General features: G+C 40.7%; 1 protein-coding gene across 3 annotated transcripts in view, besides 1 other annotated feature; it reads right to left on the reverse strand.

Moving 5' to 3' along the window:
- Nucleotides 1–23,712, reverse strand: part of CA10 (carbonic anhydrase 10) — a 529,711-nt gene that overhangs the window by 222,803 nt on the left and 283,196 nt on the right. The gene's annotated exons all lie outside the window — the stretch shown is intronic.
- Nucleotides 16,361–16,561: a silencer, noted in NCBI's record as "peak2891 fragment used in MPRA reporter construct". NCBI's record gives its function as "represses an SCP1 promoter by STARR-seq MPRAs in K562 erythroleukemia cells {active_cell/tissue: K562}" and the evidence as "EXISTENCE:reporter gene assay evidence [ECO:0000049][PMID:32103011]".

The raw sequence follows: 23,712 nt of genomic DNA on the forward strand, positions 1-23,712 counted from the left end.
ATGCTAATATATTATTATATATTTGCTAATAAATTATATTTGTTGTTTAATAAAAGAGAGAATATTTTTAAAGTCCCAATGATGATATTTAACTGCATAATAAACCCCACAGAAACTGCTAATCAGGAGTGGGGTGATTAAATACTGCAGTGATCTAATGCTGAAAGCCTTGGCATTGCCACCCGGTGTCCCTGATCCTCAGGCTGTTCTGCATAAGGCTGGACAAGGGCTGGTCTGTGGGGCATGGCCTGGAGCTTGTCTGCTGTCCCTGTGCTGGTCAGGGGCCTTGCTCCATGTGCAGGGAGTTCTGGGTAATTAGAATGTCTGTCCCAGTGATTCCTTTAAGCAGATATGGCCTGCCCATATTGGGAATGCCCCAAACCCCAACAGAGGCACTTGCCCATGATGTTGGACTTAGCCCAGGTCACCTCTTGGTGCATTTACTCCAATCTGTGCTTCTTTCTGCTCTTGGTTCCTCAGTTCTTCAGACTCGTTAGCTCTTTCTGTCCACTGTAGGATGCCCTGGTGATATGGCTTGGCTCTGTGTCCCCACCCAAATCTCATCTCAAATTGTAATCTCCACGTGTCGCGGGAGGGAGGTGAATGGATCATGGGGGCGGTTTCCCCCATGCTGTTCTTGTAATAGTGAGTTCTCATGAGATCTGATGGTTTTATAAGTGTTTGACTGTTCCTCCTTCACATGCTTGCTCTTCTGCTGCCTTGCGAAGAAGGTGTCTGCTTCCCCTTCTGCCATGATTGTAAGTTTCCTAAGGCCTCCCCAGCCATGTGGAACTGTGAGTCAATTAAACCTCTTTCCTTTATAAATTACCCAGTCTCAGGGAAGTTTTTTATAGCAGTGTGAAAACGAATGAATACATCTGGCCTTGGTGACCTGTTATACAGGCATGCTTTATGACTCAGTCTCTGCACCTGCTCTCAGATACACTTCAGATGTTTACCTTCTGGTCCTACACTTGGCCACGGATGAGAGGCACCTTCATCTCGCCAAGATTCTCAGGGAATGATCAGCCAGTTGGCTTGCTCTACGGTTTTCTTTCTCCACCTTCCTCACGAGATTACTCTGGCCAATGAGTGGTCCCTGGTGAGAAACTGAGGCCAAGTCAATAGGTTCACAGGGCAGGGGTGGCAGCAGCTTCACCCCTGCTGGACATTGTTAATGTTCAGTGAGGTCAGGCAGTCTTTGGTCATACAGGAGACCTAGGATTAGGTCTAGGCATTGGGAAGCAATGGCAGAGTTGTGGCTGGGAAATATTTCTCCAGGGAAGAGTGAAATGCATGTCCATGCAATTTGTAAGTTAACAGCAGGCACTCAATCTCTTGACTCTATTACTAGTGGCATGAGTAGTTTTCAGGGACTAGTTTTGTGGGTAGCTCCCCTTTAGTCTGGGAACTTGGATGAAGAGATGAGATGGCCGAGGAGTCACTTCCTAATGAAAGCAGCATCTGAGGAAGGTGAGTTCTGCACAAGTCATCATGCCAGGACTGTGGAGGGTCCCTGGAAGGCAGAGGCATCAAGTCTTGGTTCCCCTTTCTCTCTCCTAGAAGAGGGTATATGGTACAAGGCACTCTAAAGGCTTCTGGCCACGTGGCTTATGACCTAACAGAAGGAACTGGAGCATATTCAAAGCTTACTGTGGTGTCCACAGGGGATTAAGCAAACCAGGGAATAATGTGATCATTCATCTTTCCTTAGCATTTGGTGTGTGTTGGGTCTGGGTCCCAGTGCTTTATCCAGCTCAGCTCGCTTAAACCTCGCAACTACCTTATGCTCTTTTTACCCCAATTTCACAGAGGAGAAAATGGAGGCACAGGGAGATTGAGTAACTGGCTCCAGGTAACTCCAGAGTCAGTGCTCTGATGCTGCCCCTCTTACCATCCATTTGGTTCTGGGGAAGGTTGAGTGCAAAACCTGATAGGAAGAGAGGTGGAAAGAGCACCAGTTTTGGATTTAAATCACCCCGGGTGTGCCTATGGCTCTGTGTCTTTCTGCTTTGTTACACTGGCAAAATTACTTTACTTTGGTTTTCTTATCTATAAAATGGAGGATAACGCCAGCTTGAAGAGTTATGAGGAAGAGGTAAAATAGTTACTGTCTCCCACCAAGCCCACAGTGCCTGGTCCACAATGAGCATTTGATATATGTTGGTTCTTATTACTATACAGAAAAGCACTTTGTAAAATGTGAACTATAATAGACCTTTAAAACTCACAATAGCAAGATTGTAATATGCACCATCCTTTTAAGAAATAAAGTTGAGAATTAAACTATCACACACCATTGACTATAAGACCCATCTCAACTTCAATGATGCTAAATGCAAAATATAGTATAGTCGACCTAGGTGCAAAAAACTCAAAAAGCATTTGAGATCCCCTTCCACCCTAACTCCAGCAAGAAAGGAAAGAAATGCAAAGAAACAAAGACAGAACCAGTTTCTTGAGGAGCACAGTGCCTGAACCATAAAGAAAATGAAAAGCTACACACAGATGTTCATCCAGGCCAGCTTTCTGCTGGTAGGTAATGCATGAAGGCAATTAGGTGCTGGCTCGTCTCTTCAACATTCATGGAGCTGCAGAGTTTAATAACGTTGAAATCTGGTGCTACCTCAAAGTAAAAAGAGGTAATGATGAAAGTTGCAATTAATTCCTTAAATGAATTCTTAAAATGTCAAAATTTGAACTACACAAGTAATCAGTGTACAGAAAGTGGCCACAAGGTATAGAGGAGGAAAGAGTGGGGGACTTGGAGCCTGAAGACTTTTGTCATGGTCTTTGCTTTCCTCCCTAATTGCCAACAGGATCTGAACTGGCTGATTCACCTTTGGACTCAATTACCTTATCTGTCAATGGGGGGCTGAAGGAGCAAACAGTAAGGCTCTTTCAGCTCTGAGCAGGCATGCACCTGTGCCCCGCGCAAATGTGCAAGCCTTAAGCTGAAGAGGGTATTAGGAAAGTGAACTTTCTAATGTTTCTAGCATTCCCGACCTGTCCCCTGGACAATCCTGTCTCTTTGCTGCCAGTGCTTTCTATTTGCAGAAGGACTGACATGCTTGATTAAAATGTCTCAAGCATATCCAATCCTAATGTATTAGATCTTTCTTTCCTCCCATGCAATAGCAGTGGCAGAAACTCTGCATTGCAAACTCATAGTTTGTTTCCCGATGTTAATTCTGGTTATTTAAGGGGTCATCCACATGAAAACTGGTGAGGGAGACATTTCAGTAAAACAACAACAACAACAACAACAACAACAACAACTCCCCTGGTCTCCAAATGCTTTACATGAGACCACAAGGAGTCTAGAAACAATATAAAAGGACAGATAGTTGTAAAGTAAGTGGCCGCCAAGGAGCATAAAAATAATGACAAGGCACGCAAATCACAGATAAACAAGCAGAAAATACAGAGCAGTGACAGGAGTAGCATAAACACCAAACTTCTGCACAAACCAGCGTTTACTTATTTATTTGGTCCACAACGAGGAGGAATACAGAGCTGAATATGCCACAATTCCCATTTCCAGTTGATTCTCACATTCTCATGGGGCAGAAAGACAGCTTCAAGATCCCTTTACTACAAGCTGCTTGTGCAGAGTCCTAGGATGGAGGTATGATGAAAGGTTATCTGGAGGTCTGAGGAACCCCAAGTTGAATCAGGGGGCTTATGAAAGGCTCCAAAGCGGGGGAGGTCAGATGGGGCTCAACAGGCTGATAAAATGGTTCTACATGTAGAGAAAGAAGGAATTGGTATTCTAAATGACTGACATAACATAAAGTCCATGGTTCAGGATAATAGTCCAGAGTGAACGGTGGCTGAATTATGGATTTTACAGATGTCTGTGTGTACATGTGTTACAGGAGACAAACAGGGAGGTTGATCTTATCTTATATGCAGTGCAGAGCAATTCATTTGTTTTGAGGAGGAAAGTGATACCACAATTACATAAATCAAGGATTTAAAACATTATCATCATCCAAACAAATGGAAACCATTGTTTTTTATTTACCAAAGCATATATTCCATGATAATATTTAGTGCCATTTACAAAGTATCTAACATCTCCAGGCATTTTACAATTGTGATGTCCTTGCCAAAACCCTCCTAAATATGTATTATTATCCCGTTTTACAGATGAGGACACTGAGGTTCTGAGAAGTGACATAATCTGCATATCATGGCAGAGCGAAGACTAGAGAAAAGGCTATCCGATTCAAAAGGCTGCTTTACTCCCACCTGCAGTATACGCCTACCACCACATGCTACTGATTTTGGCAGCCAAGAGCATGACTCTGTATTTTAACAGGAAAAGCCAGAGATGAAAAGTACTGTCATTAGCATAGCTCCTCAAGGTTACTCTTAGGAATCCTAAGCACCATACCATGCAGCACTATACAAAAATCTGGTTCAGATAATGATGCTGGCCCAATTTATCTGTCATGATACGGCTGAGACACACACGGCTTCATGCATCAACTTACTATCGCAACAAACTATTAGCAAAAAACTATTATTGGGTTTGGGGAAAGAGCAGCAGTCCTAATGTTCTATTCCCACAGCCATTCTCATAGGAAAGGGTTGGAAATAGAACAGAGTCTATCTTTACGATCTGAATGACATAAGAGACAGTGGATGACACAAGCACAATATTCTGCTTTCATAATTTTATGATTTCCTGTCTAGTCTGCAGGAACAAGTAAAACAACAACCTCTCTGGTTCTGTGATAGCATCTGTCCTTAGAAAACACTCATTTTTAGCACAGTCAGGGTTGAAATTGGATGAGAAATTCAGGGGTTTCTCCTTAGCCTCAGTTGTTCAATCTTCAGAGGCCCACTGTCTGAAATTCAGGGGAAAAGGGGCTCAGTCAACTTCATATTAACTTTTTCTTAATATTTATAACTGTGACATGCAACTATAACTATATTATTATGTAAATTGAGAAACGGAAAGGAGAGAAATGACTCATTATATATCTCTCTGGGAACTTCCATCAAAAATGTAAATCATGTAAGTTTCAGAATTCTAGGTGGGCACCTGGAATCTTCCACTTGTAGTTTTCTTTGGAGAAGATTAAAAATAAAGAAAACCATATGTTCCACTTTAGTGAGCAAGAGTGAAGGGACATCGGTATTAAAAGCAGAAGCAAAATAGGCAGATGAGAGCTTCATTTTATACTGAGAAGGCATGGGTGCAATTTACCTGCAGGCCATTTTCACTGGGACAACGAGGAAAATGTGCCCGTGCAGAGACAAGGAGTCCCCACAGTCTACCCCTTCCACCAATTTTCAGTGTTTTCCTGAACAGATTTCAAGCAACAAAACAGTCAGCTGCTGGGTAATAGCTCCGGTTACAGCTGAAAATGTTAGTCATTTCATTATACACACTCCAAAAGGGGTATATAAAAGTTGTTTACAAGGGCAAAGCCGTAGTTCTGAAAGCTGGCTTTAAGAGCTCCTTCTACCTTGCCATATTTTAATTCTTTGAACGTGCACCAACAATTACATTTTTATAACTGCTAGCACAGGAAGTTATTAAAACACTTGGCTCCTATGTGTCTTGGTCCTTGCCTCTGCTGGAACATTGTAAATTGTTATGGCTAGCACATTTGTGCAAACCTACTGAGAGAAACATCATATGGAAATAATTTCAGTGGCTAGTGAAGGGTAGTTAAGGACAACCTTAACATCTAGGCCATATGATGCAGTGATTAAGAGGAAAGGTGCTAGAGTCAGAGGGACTAAGCTTGAATCCTAGATCTGCCTATTAATCCCTATGGGAGCAGGTCACTTAGCCTATCAAAGTCTCGGTGTTCCCATTTGCAAAATGGGAACAATAAGGGTACCTCCCTATATAGGATGTGGTGGGAATTAAATGAGATATACAAAGCATCTAGTAAGTGCCCAATGTTAGTTAATTATTAATTAATTGTTAGTTAATAATTAACATAAGCTAGTTAATTATAATTAGTTAATAATTAACATTAAATGTTAGTTAATTGTTGGGGTGATATCTTTTTCTCTTCTACATCAGGGCAGAGTTCTTCAATCTGTGGCAGAATGAAATTTCATGACCAAATCCATACAAGAAAGTGTTGTAATCACTTTCTTAAGAGTACTGAAAGTGAACAATGACAAAACTCTACCTTGTGCCTCCTTCAACAAGGGGTTTCAGCCCACAGCAAGATTGACACTGCTGCCTGGCCATGTCTGTAAGTGAGTGACAGCAGGTAAACAATTGTCAGCATCCCAAACTAGTATGTTAATGTCTCCCCAGTGGCCACGTTTGTTATCCTGTTCCCTCATATTGGAATTACTTGGCTCAGGAGATCTGCCAATAATATACTTTTGGCTGGGTTTTGAAATCACCTTGGGATACCCAGTCACACAGTGAGGCTTTGTGGTACATGGTTCTCTGTGCCACGTTTCACACAGGCCACTGAAGGGCTGTCAATATTGGCATCAGGAGAGCTGAGTTCAAGTCCTGGATCTACCTCCTATTGATGATGTGATTTTGGGCACATTATATGAACTCTGAGCCTCTGTTTCCTCATATAAAAAATGAAGAATGGGGATAATATTATTTATTTCACAGGGTTTTTGTGAAGACTAAAAGACGTGATGCAAAAGGGCATTGTAAAGTATAAAGAGCCACATAGATGTTATTATAACTTTTGGTAAACAGGATCATCATTGTTGGATCAGTTGCTTATATTAAGAATTCTGAGGGTTTCTGTGGCTGAAGATTGCCATGATACACATAAGAATAAATGTTATATTTCTTATTTAAAGGTCAGAGTGGTGAGATTGGATAAGGATAAGGTACAATGGTGAGAGGTGAGTGGCTGTTTGTACAGGGCTGTGCCAGGCTACAGGGATGCAGAAAAAGAAGTGTGCAAAGACAGAGCAAGATTTACTTATTCCTGATTTATTAGAACTGAATTTCTTTACATTTTTCTTCCTTCCTTACAGGCATATCCCATTTCATCCTTATGTTCTTTCCAAATCTCATTCCTGGAAACCCTTTCTCCCCTAGTCTCTTGAGACACTTTGGACTTAGCACTCATGAAGCATTAATTTTTAAATGGCATATGCTTTTACAGGATCCAGTGCTGACCCCATGAAATTAGCCCTCCCTATTTAGAACCACCCAATTATGTAGAGACTCAAGCACAATGAGATCTGCAATTCTCTTTGCCTCATAAGTCTTAAGGCTTTATTTTCAGCATTGTCTTGTTTTCTTTCTCCAAAACATCCAGGAAACTGAATGGCTGGAAGTCTGACTGCAAAACAATGGTTAGGATAGTGGCCAAATATGTGATGTTTCTGAATATGGAGGAGGTGGGCCTGACATTCCATGCTGCAGATATGCAAGAATAACTGGAGGAAAGAACCAACTGGTGGGGCATAGTTGGCCCCTGTCCACATTCACTTTTCCTAGACAGTCTTGGAGGATGGATGCTTTTTCCTTAAGTTAGGTTTTCTCCTCCCCTTAGGCTTTTACCTATATAACAGAAACAGACTTCTAATGATATATTTATATATGCCAGTAACATATAATATATAGAGATGATATAGCTGTGTATTAATAGTTGCTCTGCTATGTGTCTATAATAAACACTACATAGCAGTTATTGATTTATCTCTCCCACTAAAATACCTTTAGGGGTATTCAGAATAGACGCCCCTCCAGCAGCCATCTTGATACACTAAGATTTGGGGAAGCAAACAAAAATAGACTGAGAATGGGACAAAGATATTACACTAAGTATTTGACTTAATCCTACTCCCCACAACCTGTGGGCTGTATTGCGCTGACCTCCTATGAAGCCAAGGACAGAAACTGTACTCTCTGAAATCTTAACATAAAATACCTTCCATGCCATTTATGAAGCCACTGTCCCTCAGCTTCAAATCTAACTTTCTGTACTTTGCTTTGAGGTGCTGGGACTAAGGACTAGCAACCTGCGTTTCTGCTTTGCCAGCTGATCCTTGTTAGGTTCTGCCAGTAGGGGGTGCTAAAGGAGACTGCGAGGCCAGAGGACACGGGAGAGATCTGATACTCCTAGTAGTGTCAGCTTAGTGTTTGCTTCAAGCAAAGTGTTGCTGGCCTCGCTTTTTCATTCTGGCAGCAGCAGTTCCTCCCTCTAACAGAAATCTAATTCAGTTTGCAGTTTCTCCAACGTTGCAGAACCAGCCTCATTGTGGAGATTTTCTAAATGCATGAGTTAAAATGGCAAAAGTGGAAAAATAAGGATGAGAGAGAGAGAGAAAAAAGATGTACATACAGCAAGTATAGGATTAGAAAGGCATTAGGAAAAGCTTTACCTGTGAAAAACCCCTTTCCCCCTATTATATTTTAAACCTGCTGAGTTTGATAAAATGAGAACTAGGTCACTATTGCAGATGTGTGTTTTTTTTTTTTTTAATGAGATGATTTGGGTCAACTTTCTATATACCAACTTTATATATAGTTGTTTCAAAGGAGACTCAGCATAGCAAAGAGAGAGCATAGTAAAAAATTCATGGGAAAAAAGCTGCAATCAATGTAGAATGAGTCTTTGAAAATTAGCCAATTAATCTGGCTTTGCTTTGTTTCCCTCATGTCTAGGGACTTGATTTACATAAAATAAATCCAGTGTGAACAATGAATACATACACAGAAAATAAGAGTTGAATAAAAGATTACTTATGTATATGACTAGACACTTCAAAGGCTTATAGTGAAAGATGAATCACCAAAGGCTATATCTGAAAAGAACTCCAGACCCATGATTTTCTTAAAATGAACTATAATGGATTCTGTAAGGCTAGAAAGGGTTCAAGACAGAACTGTAAGACTTCTCATATGGTCCACTATATACAACAGCCACCTGCTTGCTATTGCCATTAATTTCTGCCTTAATTCTCTTACAGATAGAACCAGATACAACAGCCACCCTCTTGCTAATGCCATTAATGTTTGCCTTAATTTTCTCACAGATAAAGTCAAGACCAATTAGTGGAAAACACACAGTGGTAAATTTCAACTCCTTGAAGAAAGTTTCTAATGATCTCATCTGTATGATGAAGGATCAGCTACCTAGGAAGGTAGTTAATTTGCTCCAACTAGTATTAGTGAAGCTTAAGTTGGAGGACTGCTTGAATCTAGAATCAGACGGGAGAGTCCCTTTTGCACTGAGATTCTCAGGATTCTTTAGCAGCCAGTAACAAGAATATGTTACAACAGAAATTAACAGCTCTATTCATTTAGATAAGAGAGGATTTGAGACAGAACCAGCCTTTAACTGGAGTCTTTTTTTTTTTTGGCTTCAACCTTAGCACCTTCTCCCACCTCAAGGTGTGCATTATACTCTAGAGGAGACAGGATGCCTTACAGTAATCATATTTTTCAGAGGCTAAGTTGCTCTTCCCAAAGGAAATACAGTGCCATAATCATGTATAAGAGTTCTGGGTTCAGAAACTATCTTTGCTTGGATCGCCATAACAAAATACCATAGACTGAGTGGTTTAAACAACAGAAATTTATTTCTGTACAGTTATGGAGTCTGGAACTCCAAGATTATAGGGTGCCATTGTGGTTGAGTTCTGGTGAGGGTGCTTTTCCTCTGTTCACATGGCCTTTTTTTTTCTCTGTGTGTTTGTGTGTATGTGTATGGGGCGGGGACGGGGGAAGTTGGGGAGAGAAGAGAACAAACTATCTGATGTCTCTTCTTAAAAGGGCACTAATCCCATCATGAGAGTCCTATCCTCACAACCTCATCTAACCCTAATTATCTACCAAAAGCCCCATATCCAAATATCAATACTCTAGACATTAAGGCTTCAATACATGAATGTGGAGGGGAGGCACAAATATTCACTCTATAACATAAACCAAAGTGTGAAGCAAAGGTGTGGCAACTTACTAGTTGGATGGCTTTGGGTAAATTGTATACACCCTCTAAATCTCATTTACTTCACTGGAAAATATGAACCACAATAACTTCTCGATGAGGTTTTGGGGTACTGCATAAGTCAACAAACAGTAAGCATGTTTCACATAAAAAATAGTCCAAGTAAATGTAGCCACTACTACTGTTGTTGTTATCATCATCGATTCCGATAGGACAAGGATGAATCTGGAAGTTATTCCATACGCTGCTCTTTCTGTCTCCATTACCTAGCCCCTGCCTTGCTTTGCTAATTAGTAGTTATGCTTAAATCCAGCTCAAGTTTTACTTTGTCTAGAAGGCCACCTTTGATTATCCCCATGAGTTAGATGGCACGGACCTTGCTCTTTCATGACATACTAGGATGCATTTGCATGCAAATAGCCTTACCATTGCTGGGTGAATGTGATTTTCTTTCTTTGATTTTGCTAGCTAGACTCTGAGATACTTGAAGAACCACCTGGAGTTAGTCCCAGCTTCACAGTTAAGGGCATAGTTTTCCACAAACTCCTCTCACTTAAGATGCCAGTCACAAGTTTGGAGGTCTCTTGGGCCACTGTCACTTTTGATGAGCTGGATACAAATTCACTGGTCCCCACGGACACCCTCAGGTTTGGTAATTCAATAGAACTCCTCCCAGAACTCAGGATCATGCTATACTTGTGATTAGAATACAAACAGGGACCAACCAAAGTAAGAGATGCATAGAAAGAAGTCTGGGAGGATTCTAAATGTGAAACTCCCACCATCCTCAAGGATATCTTACCCTCTTAGCACATCAATATATGACAATACTTATAGGACTGCCAACCGGGAAAGCTCACCTGAGCTTTGGTGTCCAGAGTTTTTATTGAGGCTTAATTGTGTCCACTGATTGACTGAATCATTGGCCATGATTCACTGGCCATCAATAACCAGTCCCTTTCCTTTCCCCATGGGTTAATATTAGGCAGCTCAAAGCCCCAGCCTTCTAATCACACAGTTGGTCTTTCTAATGCAGCCAGCTCCCATCTTGACTCACCTTATTAGCATAATCTATCTGGGAGCCCACCATGAGTCACCTCATTAGCAAAAACTATCAGGTGTATGTTCCAAGGGGTCCACCATGGAAAACAGAGACATTCCTATCACTTGGGAAATTACAAAAGTTTAGTGGTTACCTCCCAGGAACCGGGGAAAAAGGAAAGCCAATTTTTTTTTATGACATAGGGATAATGATTATGCACCCTAAGTTGCTTAGTAGATCACCCAAAACATGGTAAGTGGTCCATAAATATTTGCTAAATGAATAACAGAGTGAATAATAAAAGTCAAGACAAGGCCATTGTTTTAACCTTATGAAAGGAGAGTTGGCCAATTATCTTTATTTTTCTGGATAGATTTACTTCTGGCATTTGAAGCCCTCACATCTCTTGTTCTATTTCCTTCTCTACTTTCTCCTATTTTCATTGAGTTCATCCCACTATCACCATTTCTTACTACTGTGAAACAGACTTTGAATTTCTACTTAAAACCCTGCTTTTGCCTTTCACACCTTTTCAATGGGATTTTACAGTTCTGAGAGCTGAGGAAGTGAAACAGAAAACACTGTGTAAGAAAATCAAATTCTTCTCTCAGTAACAAAGGTGCCTTGATGCAGGACAGCATTTCAATTATGGTGTTCATTTCCTTCCACATTAATGTCATTTGAGTTGCCACTCCATTACTTATTATTAGTCAAATCAATAAACAACATGCAGGCTCACAACTCACTGCATGTCAAACTGAGGCGTGCAGGTGGAGCTGTTAATGCAAACTGATATTTCAGGTGTCAAAGGGCACATTGGCTCCTGAGCAAGGTTTGAGGAGTGCAGTTTGGTTCAACAAACAATTATTGAGTGCCTTGTATGTGTCAGATGTTGTGCTGGGTGCCAAGAATACCAGTACTAAGAAGGGGCAGCATCTTCCTGAGGAACCTAGTGTCTTAGGGAGAGTGGGGATGGGGACAGGCAGAATGGACTTTCCCTCTGAGGTCCTTTAATTCAAAAAAATTCTTCAGGGTCTCTTCATCACCTTCTGAAGTATGACTGGTATACATCAAATTGCATTTATTCTACTGCACCCTGACACTCCTCATCTCACTTTCCTGCTTTATTTTTCTCCATGGTACTCACCAACCTCTGACACACTATGTAATTTGCCTATTGGTTTATTTGCTTGTCTCTCCCCCAGCTAGAATGTAAGCTCCATGAAGGCAAGTGTTTTTGTCTAGTCATTCATAGCTGCATGTCTAGTTTTAAAATCTGGGTCTGGAACATGGTAGGTGTTCAATAAAAATGTGCTGAATTAATGAACGAATCTACTAAACAGGGGGTTCCTCCTGCTGCCCAAATGTCTAAGACTCCTCTTGGGTAGTGAAAAAGTTGAAAAGACATTTATAGTGCAATGATCCTCCAGAGTGGGCTGGACATGTTCCTTAAGCTGCCAGGCCGCAGGGCAGTGTCCATGGCCTCAGGGAGCCGGTGGGGGGGAACCAATATGCAGTCAAAACCAGACAATATAATGTGTGTTGTCTCATTCAACCCTTGATGTATCCCTGTGAGATAGAAGTTATTCTTCCAATTTCAGAAATGAGAAGATGGGTGGTGAAATAGCTTGCCTACAGCCCCACAGCTCATCAGTGCTAGAGCTAAGCTTTAAATCCATGCCTGAGAGATGCCATGGTTCATGCTTTCCTCATCTATGATGTTAGGCTGCCTCTATATCATATCTTAGTGAATGTGAAAAGTAAGCAAGATGCATTTGCTCCACTAGAAGCACCCACAGCCTAAGCTAGACAAATATTCACAGAGGAAACCACGTTGATTCTGTAAGATGGGACCATGCACCCCTTTGCACCATTCAAAGAAGGCTGAACAGGGCAGATATAAAAATGATGCAGTGAATGAGCTGTTGGCTTCCCTCATCTCCCTATTAACTGTGCCCTGGTGACTTACTCTTAAGAGACATCAAATGAGGAAATAAATGGCTATTGCCAAATAAACAAAGGCAATGTTTTAAAAGTCTCTGTCATGTCCTGATAGTTCCTGACGATGCCACTAAGCCCATTTCAACTGTCATTAATCCTAGTCTGACTCATTCTGGTTAAGGACTACTGCTCCCATGTCTGAGCCAACAATGCCCCAGGAAGGTACTAGGTTAGGAAATATTCCATCCCTTGAGCAGGAAGAAGACTCTGAAAATAGTATATTGTCTCCATGCCTTGCTTAAAGGTGGACTGGAGTTCACATAACAGCTTCTTTAAGTAACCATGCCCTCTGCACTCCCCCTAAACCTCCTTGCCACTTTGTGGCTATTTTTCTTGGCAGCTAGTTTTTACTCCTTTCTTTCCTGTGCTCTTCTCATCTCACTTTTATCAGTGTTTCCCCAAAAGCAGACCATGCTTCCAGTGACTCCTCAGCCATGACAGTAGATTTCTCTGTATCTACAGCTTAAGCAACTAGCTGATGCTAAGACCTCTGCCTCTTAATTGCCCTTGCTCCTTCTGCACCCTGGACATCATTGCTGACCTTCATTGAACTAACACTCAAGATACCCGCTCGACTTTATAATTCCTGGCTTCTCCTTTGGAGGTGACAGGGCTTCCTTACCCTTCATTATACCACTTTTAGGGTGGTTGGCTAGTCAACCACTGAATCAATCCAGATGTCTTCTAACATAGTCACATGGTTTATGATGTTTTATTTTGTAAAGCTTAGCAGAAATGTAGCTCCATATAGTGGTTTTCAAACCCTATAAAATAATACTGAATATTTTAATGCAAGTTAGATAATTATCAATATAAAAATTAAAGGGAAATTTCAAAATAATGGTAAGAACAGTTTCTCAGAAATAGTCTCCTTAATTCAGAAGTTAAAACTCAGAAGTACCTGGATCACACTGAGCTTATGGATCCCCGGTATGAGGAATGAACACAATGGTTTATTTCTGTTTGATTGGCAATGAGATTGACATATTTCTTTGGCTCCCCTGTGCTATTAAAAAAAAAAGAGCCTCTAAATTGAGACTACTGCCCATTTCAGTAAGAAATGAGGCCACATGTCAATAGAATATAGGTAACTACACATTTATAACACTGGGCAGTGATGCAGAATTGATTAGCAAGTGTAATTGCAGTAAGTAAGATGCTTTCTGCTCCTGGTACTGATGACTCGTGGCATATTGAAAGGAAAAAGCATGATTTTCAAGGAAATGAGATTCTCAATATTAAGATGGGGTCTAAAAGTGCCTAAATAGAATTGGAAATAACCTAAGTATTGAATGAGACTGTAGAGTGTAATGGTTAAGAGCATGGGCTTTAGGGGAAGACAGATCTGAATGCAAATATCTGTTTTAACATGTATTAGCTTTGAAGTGCAGCAAGTTCTTTAAATTCTTTAAGTCTCAGTCTCCTCTATAATGAGACGAGATGCTCACAGTGTTTATTCTCTAGGTGGTTGTGAGAATTAAAGCGATGTTGCAGGTAAAGCACAGACTGCACTTGTCACACAGCCAGTGCTAAAACAGACAAACCAACCAACCCCAAGCAAAAAACTATCTATATTGTTTTCATAGTTCACCAGCAATTCCAGTTCCTGGAAGGCAACCAGTCAGTGATCTACTGAAGCTAAGTCAGTCTACGGATGAGGTGCATGTCTGTAATTGATCAGATTCAGACCTAGAGGGAATTGGTAATCTGGTCCCCTCAGGACAGAATGTGGAGTTCTGCCTCATGAACTCAATCTGTAAGTATCAGGAAAAATCTTCCCAGAATGGGAAATGTAAAAAGAAAGTTCCAAACATGCCTAATTATTTCTAACAGATTCTAAAAACCTCTCAAAATGAATTCTGCATAAAATGTAAATCTAAACAGTTTGATGATGATCCACTGTTTCTACATTATTCAGTCTTTAAACATAAATAAGCCTAGGTTTTCTTTAAACAATTCTATCACAGAGTTCAAATAAAGCAGGTGTAACACACACACACACACACACACACACACACACACACACAAAGATATTCTACTTTAGCTCTCTCGTATCTGGAAATCATTCATCTTATCTGCTGCTCGCTCTCCCTCTTTCTTTTTAAGTAAACATTAATCCCCACAGATGGTGAACCACGGTAATCTCTGCTACCAGCTGCAGAGAAGAATTTTTAATGAAATGGGAATTTAAAGGGTTTTACACAAAGCACCAGAATCTATTCCGCTCCTTCTCATAATGCTCAAATTATTTTTACTGCCATGGGTTATAAATGCATGTTTGTATTACTGCTTCTGAGAGAAACTGACCTATTGCTTAGAAGGTGCTTACTGCTTTAAGCGTGCCGTCTCCTGCCTCACCCAGTATAAGGGTGTCAAGTCCCCAGTAAAAGGCACTCAGTGGTTAAGATTACAAGATTTATCCCAGAACTGACCTTATTTTACACTACCAACCCTGCCCAATCTCCACCTGACTTTTGTTGATATGTCTCCTGATCTTCTGGCCTCCCTTTTAATAAACTCCACAGAGTTGTGGCTTTGATTTAGCTACATCTCTAACTGAAAGATTTGATTCCTGTTTTTTTCTCTCCCTAGTCCAGCACTGCTCAGACTAACCACCTGGTATTCTGACATCTCCTGCTTGGCCTTATGACCTTCCTTTACAAATAACACTTATGAGCAGCTCTGTTGGACACCACTCAGTGTTTATAGTCACCAGCTCTCCTCGATTCTTGCCCAAGAGTGTTGATATAGAACACTCATGATCATTCTCAAATCTTTTAAGAAAGAAATTCAAGTTAGCTATGAAGCCAAAAGTTTTTTTGTTTTTTTTTTTTTACAAAAGATGTTATAAAAGGTGACATGCACACACAAGTATAAAAAATGGAAAATCAAGATAATGTCTAATTTAAGTTAAGCTAATTACTTTTGATGAAAACGTATTACTTTAAAAAAGATTTATACACCTCTAAAGCCGTTCAAAATATATCAGCATAGAAAGATTTTGATGCTCATAATAATTTTTATATATAAATTATCAGGGGGGAAAAGTCAAACTCCAATAGAAAAAGGACTATTTTCACAAATTAAGGGTACACATACAAGAAGAAAATATTAATAAGATTAAGAAGTTCATCTCTATTGATGTTATGAAAATTTCAGCCTTGAACACTAACTTATGGCCACAAATCCAATCATAAACCATTTCAAATGGACCAGGAAAAGACCCCAATGTCATGGAAAGAGTAGCTGCTTGAAGGTCAGAAAGCCTAAGAGCTGGTCTTCCTGGTCCTGCCATCAACTCACTTTGTGCTGGGGGCTGAGTTGCTAGGCCTCTTCTAGACTCAGTTTCCTGACGTGAAAGTTTACTCCTGAGGCCTCCCAGGTCTGTTTAATATGGGATCACCAGGAAACAACATAAAACACAGCAGTAAACTTAACAGGAGTCTCCCTGTCAGATCCTTGAACTGATTTCACATGAAGAACATTTAGAAGGCAGGTTTCAGAACCCTGGACAGAGCCATTTTGACTCAGAATGAGGCACGGAGTGAAAGCCATTTAGGCTGGGTATAGTGGCTCATGCTTGTGATCCCAGAACTTTGGGAGGCTGAGGGGAGAGGATCACTTGAGGTCAAGAGCTTGAGACTAGCCTGGGCAATAGAGCAAACCCCCTGTCTCTACAAAAAATAGTAATATAAAAAAGCAGTTTGTCTGCCAGAGTAGGAAAAAAATCAAAGGACAAGAAAATGTCTGAATGTCAATTTTTAGGAAGACTGTCCTCAACTACCCAAAGTGGTGTTTCTTACTACATTATTTGTGCTCCTAAAGCACTGTATAAAGATGTCTATTAGAACCCATGTTAACATCCCTGGCAATATCATGAACTTCTTAAAGCAGGGCTTCTCAAGTTTTAGTGCTTGTCCGAGTCATCACAGCCAATCCTCAGACCTTCCTGCCCAAACCACTCTTTAATTAGTATTTACTAAGGCCAATCTATTGCTGCATGAACTTTTAGGATTCAAGAATCTGACATACAGTTATGATACTCTGTCTTAGCCTCTCCTTATAAGGATGTTGACAGCCAGAAGAATCACATTGAATCAAAGCCAGTGATAGAATTCTGTCAATGACTGATTATACTTATACAGTTAGCAGCCCCTCCTAGGAGATTGCCCTGTTGATCCAAGAATCACCAAGAGCTTTTCCTGAGCCATAGCTTTATAGGGCATGCTATGCTATTTTGCCCATCATGAAAGAGCTGGCAGTCCACAAATAACCTGAGGGCAGGATCACACTCTAAAGTGACTTGAGCAAATGATTTGTGTAAGCTAATGTGAACCTCCTATGGCTGTGCTGTCATCAAAACACTGGGTCAAATCAAATAAGTCCATCAAGGTGCTATAAAATATGCATGCAAAGAGAATGGATGTGATGTTGTTGAGAATAATAAAACAGTCCATAAAAGCTATGAAATAAATCAACTGTTCTTTCAGGCATGGAATACAAAACACCACATACATCCATATATATTATATATGCTGTAAGCACACATTTATTATATATGAGCACTTATTGACATGCTAGAGAAAACAAAGTGATTAAGGTGTTTGCTTCGTGGAAGCAATCGCCATCAAGGAAGCATTGGCACAGGGACTGAAACAATCCTTTGCCCTCTGATCAATGGCTTTGCCAAGGATAATCTCACTGGTGAACACTTCTTGTGGGGAACATGTGTATCCCTAGAAAGGATGAATTACAAATAAGAAATACAGGGGGTGGTGGGATTATTCTTATGCCATGACTCAGGCAGCTAGCTCTAAGATGTTCTAAAGAGATTCTTCGCTTTCCTCTAAAAACATGTTTTTAATATCAGATCATGGGGTGAAAATGTACCCTCACCCTTCAGACAAAACATTGAATGGTAGAGATTTCTTCTCTTTTTCCACCCCTCCCTCCTTCCTTCTTTACTTTCTTCCCACTTTACTTTTTTTTTTTTTTTTTTTTTTTTTTGAGACAGAGTCTTGCTCTGTCACTCAGGGTGGAGTGGAGTGGCATGATCTTGGCTCACTGCAACCTCTGCTTCCTGGGTTCAAGCAATTCTCCTGTCTCAGCCTCCTGAGTAGCTGGGACTACAGGTGTGCCCAACCATGCCTGGCTTGCTTATTTATTTATTTATTTATTTAAGATGGAGTTTCGCTCTTGTTGCCCAGGCTGGAGTGCAATGGCATGATCTCAGCTCACTGCAACCTTCGCCTCCCAGGTTCAAGCGATTCTCCTGCCTCAGCCTCCCGAATAGCTGGGATTACAGGTGCCCACCACCAGGCCTAATTTTTTTTTTTTTTTTTTTTTTTTTAGTAGAGACGGGGCTTCACCATGTTGGCCAGGCTGGTCACGAACTCCTGACCTCAGGTGATCCACCTGCCTTGGCCTCCCAAAGTGTTGGGATTACAGATGTGAGCCATCGCGCCCAGCCACACCTGGGTAATTTTTGTATTTTTAGTTGAGATGGGGTTACGCCATGTTGGTCAGCCTGGTCTTGAACTCCTGACCTCAGGTGATCCACCTGCCTCAGCCTCCCAAAGTGCTGGGATTACAGGTGTGAGCCACCATGCCAGCCCTTCCTTCTTCTTTAAACTTTTTTTTTTTGAGTGTACTTTAATACCAGTTGCTTCTCTACTTGCTATATAAGCAATGTCAGCATTACTTACTGAGCATGTGTATGCGACAGCCCTTTTCTATGTACCAGAGGGTCAGAACCACAGACACAAATGAACTACCACCACTACCCTGAGAGAGTTCATCATGTACCTTCAAAGACTCATGTGTAGGCAACTAATGCAAATGCCAAGAAGAATGAAACATGTACCTTAAAAGATAATATAACCAAAGGAAGAATTACTAATCCCAACTGCAGAGATTTTGGGAAAGGGTCCCAGTGTCCTGTACAAGATGGCATTTGAATTTTGACTGAGGAATAGGATTTTTTTTATTGGTAAAGAAATGGGAAAAGCATACCCAGGTAAGAAACAGCACGTTAAAGACAGAGAGCAGAAAGGCAGTGGCTACACTTGGTCTTTTCTATGGAGAATTTCTGCAGTGCCTGTGCTCCCATAAGTCTCTGGCTAGAATGGAAATACATTTCCTTCCTTTTGATAGCACAAAGAATAGGGTTTATTCCACAGAGTGACTTGGAACCTTAGTCATAGTGTTTTTTCAGCTTTATTACTCACCTACCTGTGATAAGGGCCTCTCCCAGCAAAGTGTCTTGAATCACTAAAAGTTTGTCTCTCCTTCGTAGGGCTCATAGTTGACACAGGGGCCAGAGACCAAGCAAGTTCAAGAGTAGCACCCCAAACCATTGTTTCTTCAGAAATTATCAGCCCCATCCCACCAGATTTATGACAAACCTACGGTGTTCTTCCCCCTTCAGAGACCTCTTTGTATCTCTCTGCTATCTGCCTTCTGTCAAGAGATTTCCAGTGTTTAGACATCTCAATACATGTCAGAACTCCAAATGTAGAAAGGATTCAAGTCTCCTTGTAAGGGTATACTAGGTCCTGAACAAATAGAGACCATTTACAGAGCTGTCTGGAGCTGGCTCATACTAGCTTGCAAGAGCCAATTGTTAAATTTTCAGGAATTTTGCAAACTGGTTAATACCATATTGGTAGCTTGAAATTGGCCATGGTTGGAGAATTTATATCACAGAGACTGGTAAAGGCTACAAATTAGGACTCTTATTTCCAGGGAGCTTATTGTTAGGTTCTTGCCAGTACTGCACCAAGTATGTAACTCTAAATAGCCCTCAAACCTTCCACACCAGTTAGCCAAAAGCACCTAAGTGGCTTTCAGAGGATTACCATCTTACTCCATATGCATGGAATGTTGGTGTCTCAGGGAGTGTTGAGAGATATATATCAACAATGGTGCTGATCAAACACCCACTGTCAAGAGTTCAATGTGCTGTAGGAGAAGAAGAGAAGTGCTGGAGTTTAGTTTCTAAGCATGCTGGCTCTAATCTTTACTAACTGTGGGATTTGAGGGAAGTTATTTAAGTCTCTGCATTGTTTTTTTTCCCTCACCTGCAAAGTGGGGACCATAATACTTATGTAACAGCGTTAAAGATTAAATAAAATAATATTTGAAGGTACTTAGAACAAGGTACAGAACAGAGTAAGTACCCAATAAATGATGACAATGAGGATAGACAACTAGGTTCAAATGCTGGCACTGCTACTTTTCAGTTTGTACCATCTTGTTAAACTTATTTCACTTCTCTGAGCCTCGGTATTTTTCCTATAAAGAATTGGAAAAACATAAACTCCTTCACAGAGTGCAGTGCATTAGGTAGTTGGCACTCAGCAATCGTTCTATCATCCTGATCTCAGTATTACAGGACCTGGGAGGCAAAAAACTACATCTCCCACACTCCCTTGGAGCTAGCATTCATAAGCAAATTAGGTTCCACCAATACAACGTACTTGTTTGAAATGTAGATGCAAGAGAGAGGCCAATTTTTTGCTTTTTGGCTTTCTTTATTGGCAAGCATGGCTGTGGAGATGTTGGGCTTCACTGCAGCACAATTCTAGTGTCCATGACTGGCCATGGGTGTGCTGAGAGGCAATTGTGCTGGCTGGGGTGGGCCTTTGGTTCTGCTCCTTTTGACTGTGGCAGTAGAAGCAGCTCTCCTGGTTTCCACAGTGTTGTTCTGGGAGTCACTCTGAGTGTCCAGCCTAGTGTTTTTCTTCAGCCCACCCAATGATGTAAATACACATTTCACTGCCTAAAATGACCAAAAACGTGTTTGTGTTCTGCAACTAGACCCTGATTGATAAGCAGTGTTTGGGAGGATTACACAAGCACATAGGATAGTGCACCAGACCTGCAACACTTACTATTGTGCCTGGCTTCTATTGTGTGTTCTTAATAAATCTGAGTTCCTTTTCTTCCCAGACTTGTCAACCCTCCTTTGTCAATGGAAGAAAAAGACCCAGTTAACTATGGCTTTTAATCAGCATGACTTGTTTTATGAACTTCCTGTGTAGAGTGTAGGGGAAATGTATATATTTGCTTCCTGAAGAATCCAGACCAATGCTCTAAGTCCATTTTTGTACATATAAATACTTGAAGGATACCAAACAATATTACAAGACTGTGGCTTTCATGGCCAGGACTATGTGGTATATTTTCCTTGAGAGTTAAGAATCAGGTTTGGGTTCATTTATGCCCATTCTTAGTGGAGGTTTTGTCCAACCCCTAATATCATCTTATTAATTCCATTAAAAATTTCTCATCTGAGCATCTACTCTTGGAGTAATTATTAAAAAAAAAAAAAAAAAACAAAAACTGAAAACTCAGCTCTCCTTTATCTGCTCTTTTATTCAAGTCATTTTCAAATTTGTTTCCCAGGCAATAGTAATTGTTTCAGTAATTAAAATGTCAGGAGGCGGGCAGAGTTGATTAGAATAGCCTCTGACCACATGCACCAGGAAAGGCATATGAGAGAGCACCAGGTGACCTCATTATTAACGTGGTCTATTATATTAACCTTGTTACACATGTAAAATGTACTGAAAACATTGATACTCAGCTCTTCCTTGTTTTGTTTCTGATACCTCAAGCAATAGCCCACTATTAGAATTAACCACTGCAAGATTATTACAAAATGAAGGACAGAAAAATGAAATGTAGATATGAGTTGAAATAACTCTAACACCAAATTCAGCATCTATTTCTATTACTCATATAGAGTGTCTGTTTTACCCAAGGCTATTGCAACTTAAACTGGGTCTTTCCTCCTGTTGACATGTCTCCACGCTTACCCTTGGGCATCCTGTATAGGGTAGGGTGAGGGGTAGTGAGTAAGGAAGATGTTTTTCTTCTGTTTTTTTTTCTTTTTTTTCTTTTCTTTTCTTTTCTTTTCTTTTCTTTTCTTAGGGTCTTTCTTTGTTGCCCAGGCTGGAGTGGTTTGATCATGGTTCACTGCAGGCTTGACCTCCTGGGCTCAAGCCATCCTCCCACCTCAACCTCCCAAGTAGCTGGGACTACAGGTGTAAGACACCACCCCCAGCTAATTTCTAAATGTTTTTTAGAGATAGGGTCTCCCTATATTTCCCAGGAACCAGGAGAGCTGCTTATACTCTTATACTGCCCAAGTTAGTCTTGAACTCCTGGGTTCAAGCAATCCTCCCATACTGGCCTTCCAAAGTGCTGGGATTATGGGTATGAGGCACTGTGCCCAGCCTAGAAAGGCAGTTTTGACCTGGATCTAGATCTGTGTTCCTAGACTGATGGAGAACCATGGTATTATTAGAAGGTTACCAAGTCACCGTGATACACTTAACACTTTCAAGAGTCAACACAATGGAACGACAAATACTTTTGAACTTAAAAGTCATTTAAGCTCTGTTTACAGCTCACAGTCCTTCTTCATGTGGAGGCAGCTTTATGCAATGGGGAAGAAGGCTGTTTCTGCAGTCATTCTAATCTGGGTTCTATTCTTTATACTGCACCCCAATCTCTGGGACAGAGACAAGTCTCTCAGCCCTGTTCTTTTGTGTTTTTACTTATTTTTAATTTTTTCAACTTAAAAAGTTATTTATATTACTAAAGTTTATTTTTTGGGGGGGGTATATAGTTAAATGAGTTTTAGTACATGTGGATTATTGTAGCCACTGCCAAAATCAGGATACAGAACAATTCCAACACCCCCAACATTTCCCTCAAGCAGTTTCTTTTAACTTAACTCCCCTTCACCACCCTCTGACACTTCTTACTCCTGGAGACCGCTGATTGTTATCTATTCCTATTTCTTTTTTCCAGAATGTTCTATAAATGGAATAATATAAAACTTTTTGGAGTCAGTTTCCTTGACTTAGCACAATGCCTTTGAGATTCATATATGCTATTGCATTTATCAATAGTTCATTTCTTTTTATTGCTGAGTAGTATCCCATTGCATGGGGACCATGGTTTATCTGTTTAACTATGGAAAGACATGAGAGTTGTCTCCAGTTGTCAGTGATATAGATAATGCAGCTATAAACATTCATGTGTAGGTTTTATGTGAAGATAAAATTTTATTTCTTCTCTCGTTTTTTTTTTTTTTTTTTTTTTTTTGAACAAGGTCTCACCCTGTCACCCAGGCTGGAGTACAGTGGCATGATCTCAGCTCACTGCAGCCTGGACCTCTCAGGCTCAAGCAATCCTCCCACCTCGGCCTCTTGAGTAGCTGGGACTACAGGTGCATGCCACCACACCCAGCTACTTTTTTTTCATCTTTTTTTTTTTTTTTTTGGTAGAGATGAGGTCTCTCTATGTTGCCCAGGCTGGTCTCAAACTCCTGAGCTCAAGTGATCCTCCTGCCTTGGCCTCTCAGAGTGCTGGGATTACAGCATGAGTCAGTGCACCTGGCAGTTTTTATTTCTTTAGTGCAAAATGTCTCCACCTTGAATTTAAAGTGGAATAACCCTTTGTTGTGGGGAATGTCCTGTGCATTGCAGGATGTTTGGCAGCATCCTTGGATCTATCCATTAGGTACCCGTAACAGCCTCTGAACCAGTTGTGAAAACCAAAATGTCTCCTCACATTACCAAATGTTGGGGGGCAAAATTGACTTCAGTGAAGACTTCAGTGAAGAATTCAGTGACTTACTGAAGACTTCAGTAAAAACTCATAAGCAAGATCCTGGTCCATATGGTAGTATATGTTTCACTTTAAATGAAGCTGCCAAGCTATTTTTCAGGGCATCTGTACCATTTT

This window comes from Homo sapiens, chromosome 17 (assembly GCF_000001405.40).
Source record: "Homo sapiens chromosome 17, GRCh38.p14 Primary Assembly".
NCBI lineage: Eukaryota > Metazoa > Chordata > Mammalia > Primates > Hominidae > Homo > Homo sapiens.